The following is a 5,862-nucleotide window of genomic DNA, read 5'->3' as shown; positions in this document are numbered from 1 at the left end:
TTTATTAAATAGGGAATCCTTTCCCCATTGCGTGTTTTTCTCAGGTTTGTCAAAGATCAGGGAGTTGTAGATATGTGGCGTTATTTCTGAGGGCTCTGTTCTGTTCCATTGATCTATGTCTCTGTTTTGGTACCAGTACCCTGCTGTTTTGGTTACTGTAGCCTTGTAGTATAGTTTCAAGTCAGGTAGCCTGATGCCTCCAGCTTTGTTCTTTTGGCTTAGGATTGACTTGGCGATGCGGGCTCTTTTTTGGTTCCATATGAACTTTAAAGTAGTTTTTTCCAATTCTGTGAAGAAAGTCATTGGTAGCTTGATGGGGATGGCATTGAATCTGTAAATTACCTTGGGCAGTATGGCCATTTTCACGATAATGATTCTTCCTACCCATGAGCATGGAATGTTCTTCCATTTGTTTGTATCCTCTTTTATTTCCTTGAGCAGTGGTTTGTAGCTGTCCTTGAAGAGGTCCTTCATGTCCCTTGTAAGTTGGATTCCTAGGTATTTTATTCTCTTTGAAGCAATTGTGAATGGGAGTTCACTCATGATTTGGTTCTCTGTTTGTTTATTGTTGGTGTATAAGCATGCTTGTGATTTTTGTACATTGATTTTGTATCCTGAGGCTTTGCTGAAGTTGCTTATCAGCTTAAGGAGATTTTGGGCTGAGACAATGGGGTTTTCTAGATATACAATCATGTCGTCTGCAAACAGGGCAATTTGACTTCCTCTTTTCCTAATTTAATACACTTTATTTCCTTCTCCTGCCTAATTGCCCTGGCCAGAACTTCCAACACTATGTTGAATAGGAGTGGTGAGAGAGGGCATCCCTGTCTCGTGCCAATTTTCAAAGGGAATGCTTCCAGTTTTTGCCCATTCAGTATGATATTGACTGTGGGTTTGTCATAGATAGCTCTTATTTTGAGATACGTCCCATCAATACCTAATTTATTGAGAGTTTTTAGCATGAAGGGTTGTTGAATTTTGTCAAAGGCCTTTTCTGCATCTATTGAGATAATCATGTGGTTTTCGTCTTTGGTTCTGTTTATATGCTGGATTACATTTATTGATTTGTGTATATTGAACCAGCCTTGCATCCCAGGGATGAAGCCCACTTGATCATGGTGGATAAGCTTTTTGATGTGCTGCTGGATTCAGTTTGCCAGTATTTTATTGAGGATTTTTGCATCAATGTTCATCAAGGATATTGGTCTAAAATTCTATTTTTGGTTGTGTCTCTGCCCGGCTTTGGTATCAGGATGATGCTGGCCTCATAAAATGAGTTAGGGAGGATTCCCTCTTTTTCTATTGATTGGAATAGTTTCAGAAGGAATGGTACCAGTTCCTCCTTGTACCTCTGGTAGAATTCGGCTGTGAATCCACCTGGTCCTGGACTCTTTTTGGTTGGTAAGCTATTGATTATTGCCACAATTTCAGCTCCTGTTATTGGTCTATTCAGAGATTCAACTTCTTCCTAGTTTAGTCTTAGGAGAGTGTATGTGTCGAGGAATTTATCCATTTCTTCTAGATTTTCTAGTTTATTTGCGTAGAGGTGTTTGTAGTATTCTCTGATGGTAGTTTGCATTTCTGTGGGATTGGTGGTGATATCCCCTTTATCATTTCTTATTGCATCTATTTGATTCTTCTCTCTTTTTTTCTTTATTAGTCTTGCTAGTGGTCTATCAATTTTGTTGATCCTTTCAAAAAACCAGCTCCTGGATTCATTAATTTTTTGTAGGGTTTTTTGTGTCTCTATTTCCTTCAGTTCAACTCTGATTTTAGTTATTTCTTGCCTTCTGCTAGCTTTTGAATGTGTTTGCTCTTGCTTTTCTAGTTATTTAAATTGTGATGTTAGGGTGTCAATTTTGGATCTTTCCTGCTTTCTCTTGTGGGCATTTAGTGCTATAAATTTCCCTCTACACACTGCTTGAATGCAACCCAGAAATTCTGGTTTGTATCTTTGTTCTCGTTGGTTTCAAAGAACATCTTTATTTCTGCCTTCATTTCATTATGTACCCAGTAGTCATTCAGGAGCAGGTTGTTCAGTTTCCATGTAGTTGAGTGGTTTTGAGTGAGATTCTTAATCCTGAGTTCTAGTTTGATTGCACTGTGGCCTGAGAGATAGTTTGTTATAATTTCTGTTCTTTTACATTTGCTGAGGAGAGCTTTACTTCCAAGTATGTGGTCAATTTTGGAATAGGTGTGGTGTGATGCTGAAAAAAATGTATAATCTGTTGATTTGGGGTGGAGGTTTCTGTAGATGTCTATTAGGTCCACTTGGTGCAGAGCTGAGTTCAATTCCTGGGTATCCTTGTTGACTTTCTGTCTCATTGATCTTTCTAATGTTGACAGTGGGGTGTTAAAATCTCCCATTATTAATGCGTGGGAGTCTAAGTCTCTTTGTAGGTCACTCAGGACTTGCTTTATGAATCCAGGTGCTCCTGTATTGGCTGCGTATATATTTAGGAGAGTTAGCTCTTCTTGTTAAATTGATCCCTTTACCATTATGTAATGGCCTTCTTTGTCTCTTTTGATCTTTGTTGGTTTAAAGTCTGTTTTATCAGAGACTAGGATTGCAACCCCTGCCTTTTTTTGTTTTCCATTTGCTTGGTAGATCTTCCTCCATCCTTTTATTTTGAGCCTATGTGTGTCTCTGCATGTGTGATGGGTTTCCTGAATACAGCACACTGATGGATCTTGACTCTTTATCCAATTTGCCAGTCTGTGTCTTTTAATTGGAGCATTTAGTCCATTTACATTTAAAGTTAATATTGTTATGTGTGAATTTGATCCTGTCATTATGATGTTAGCTGGCTATTTTGCTCGTTAGTTGATGCAGTTTCTTCCTAGTCTCTATGGTCTTTACATTTTGGCATGATTTTGCAGTGGCTGATACCGGTTGTTCTTTTCCATGTTTAGCGCTTCCTTCAGGAGCTCTTTTAGGGCAGGCCTGGTGGTGACAAAATCTCTCAGCATTTGCTTGTCTATAAAGTATTTTATTTCTCCTTCACTTATGAAGCTTAGTTTGGCTGGATATGAAATTCTGGGTTGAAAATTCTTTTCTTTAAGAATGTTGAATATTGGCCCCCACTCTCTTCTGGCTTGTAGAGTTTCTGCCGAGAGATCCACTGTTAGTCTGATGGGCTTCCCTTTGTGGGTAACCCGACCTTTCTCTCTGGCTGCCCTTAACATTTTTTCCTTCATTTCAACTTTGGTGAATCTGACAATTATGTGTCTTGGAGTTGCTCTTCTCCAGGAGTATCTTTGTGGCATTCTCTGTATTTCCTGAATCTGAATGTTGGCCTGCCTTGCCAGATTGGGGAAGTTCTCCTGGATAATATCCTGCAGAGTGTTTTCCAGCTTGGTTCCATTCTCCCCGTCACTTTCAGGTACACCAATCAGACGTAGATTTGGTCTTTTCACATAGTCCCATATTTCTTGGAGGCTTTGCTCGTTTCTTTTTATTCTTTTTTCTCTAAACTTCCCTTCTCGCTTCATTTCATTCACTTCATCTTCCATCCCTGATACCCTTACTTCCAGTTAATCGCATCGGCTCCTGAGGCTTCCGCATTCTTCATGTAGTTCTCGAGCCTTGGTTTTCAGCTCCATCAGCTCCTTTAAGCACTTCTCTGTATTGGTTATTCTAGTTGTACATTCTTCTAAATTTTTGTCAAAGTTTTCAACTTCTTTGCCTTTGGTTTGAATTTCCTCCCATAGCTCAGAGTAATTTGATCATCTGAAGCCTTCTTCTCTCAGCTCGTTAAAGTCATTCTCCGTCCAGCTTTGTTCCGTTGCTGGTGAGGAACTGTGTTCCTTTGGAGGGGGAGAAGTGCTCTGCTTTTTAGAGTTTCCAGTTTTTCTGCTCTGTTTTTTCCCCATCTTTGTGGTTTTATCTACTTTTGGTCTTTGATGATGGTGATGTACAGATGGGTTTTTGGTGTGGATGTCCTTTCTGTTTGTTAGTTTTCCTTCTAACAGACAGGAGTCTCAGTTGCAGGTCTGTTGGCGTACCCAGCCATGTGAGGTGTCAGTCTGCCCCTGCTGGGGGGTGCCTCCCAGTTAGGCTGCTCAGGGGTCAGGGGTCAGGGAGCCACTTGAGGAGGCAGTCTGCCCATTCTCAGATCTCCAGCTGCATGCTAGGAGAACCACTGCTCTCTCCAAAGCTGTCAGACAGGGACATTTAAGTCTGCAGAGGTTACTGCTGTCTTTTTGTTTGTCTGTGCCCTGCCCCCAGAGGTGGAGCCTACAGAGGCAGGAAGGCCTCCTTGAGCTGTGGTGGGCTCCACCCAGTTCGAGCTTCCTGGCTGCTTTGTTTACCTAAGCAAGCCTGGGCAATGGTGGGCGCCCCTCCCCCAGCCTCGCTGCCACCTTGCAGTTTGATCTCAGACTGCTGTGCTAGCAATCAGCGAGACTCTGTGGGCGTAGGTCCCTCCGAGCCAGGTGCGGGATATAATCTCCGGGTGCGCCCTCTTTTAAGCTCGTCGGAAAAGCGCAGTATTCGGGTGGGAGTGACCCGATTTTCCAGGTGCCCTCTGTCACCCCTTTCTTTGACTAGGAAAGGGAACTCCCTGACCCCTTGAGCTTCCCGAGTGAGGCAATGCCTCGCCCTGCTTCGGCTCACACACGGTGTGCTCACCCACTGACCCGCGCCCACTGTCTGGCACTCCCTAGTGAGATGAACCCGGTACCTCAGATGGAAATGCAGAAATCACCCATCTTCTGCATCGCTCATGCTGGGTGCTGTAGACCGGAGCTTTTCCTATTCGGACATCTCGGCTCCTCCCCCAAATTTAAACATTTTTAAGGAAATAAAAAATGCATTTAAACACTTATTTTAATAAGTTGAATATTTAACCCTCTTTCAAAATCAATTAATGTTATTACTATATTAATAAAATGAAAGGAAAAGCATACACTTATGTGTAGTATATGCAGAAAGAGCATTTGACAAAATTTAATATCCATTCTTATTAAAAAATAATCTCATCAAATAAAGGATACATAAGATTTTTCTCAACATTTCAAAGGGCATCTTTAAAATACCTACAACTAACATCCTATATAATGATGAAAGACTGAATGCTTTCTCTTACAATCAAGAAGACAGGGATATCAGGTCTTACCACTTCTATTCAACATTGTCCTGGAAGGTCTACCTATTGCAAAAAAACTTAAAAAAAAGAAAAGAGAAGAGAAAGAAGGAAGGAAAACAAGAAAGGGGGGAAATAAAAGGCATCTAAATAGAAAAGAAGTAAGTAAAAATGTCTTTAATCACAGATATAATCATTTATGTAGAAATCCCAATTAAATCCTTTAAAAGCCTACTACTGAAGATAGTAAGTTAGTTTTGCAATGTTGTAGGATATAAGATAAATATGCACAAATCAATGGTATTTTCACATGTTAGAAATAATTAGGAATAAATTTTTAAATATAATACTATTTACAATAGAATTAAAAATATAAAATACTTAGGGATAAATTGAACAAATTATTTGAAAGATCTTTACACTGAAATCTAAAAAAATTGCTGAGCACATGTACATATGCTAGGAGAAAAGAAATGAAACTATACTATTATACTTTTCCTATACCATGTATGATGTTGTATAATATTACTTGAAGGTGGACTTCGATAAGTTAAAATTATGTAAATTCTAAAACAAATACTAAGAAAGCAAAAATAAAAATAAAAAAGAGTTATACCTAATATGCCATAACAGAAATGTAAAACTAAATCATTAAGAAAAGTTACTTGACTAATCTTTAAGAGAGCAGAAAAGAAAAAGGGAATAAAGAACAGCTGGGGCTAATAGTAATCAAACAGCATGATGACAGGTAAGCCTAAGTATGTCAATAATTACATCA

General features: G+C 39.6%; 1 annotated feature.

The window, feature by feature from the left end:
* Window positions 3,955–4,455: an enhancer, noted in NCBI's record as "H3K4me1 hESC enhancer chr19:28760939-28761439 (GRCh37/hg19 assembly coordinates)". NCBI's record gives its function as "activates a minimal SCP1, AML or CMV promoter by ChIP-STARR-seq in naive H9 embryonic stem cells {active_cell/tissue: H9 hESC(naive)}" and the evidence as "EXISTENCE:reporter gene assay evidence [ECO:0000049][PMID:30033119]".

Source organism: Homo sapiens, chromosome 19 (assembly GCF_000001405.40).
Source record: "Homo sapiens chromosome 19, GRCh38.p14 Primary Assembly".
NCBI lineage: Eukaryota > Metazoa > Chordata > Mammalia > Primates > Hominidae > Homo > Homo sapiens.
The sequence above is the reverse complement of the archived record's forward strand: the minus strand, read 5'-3'. Positions and strand labels throughout refer to the sequence as shown.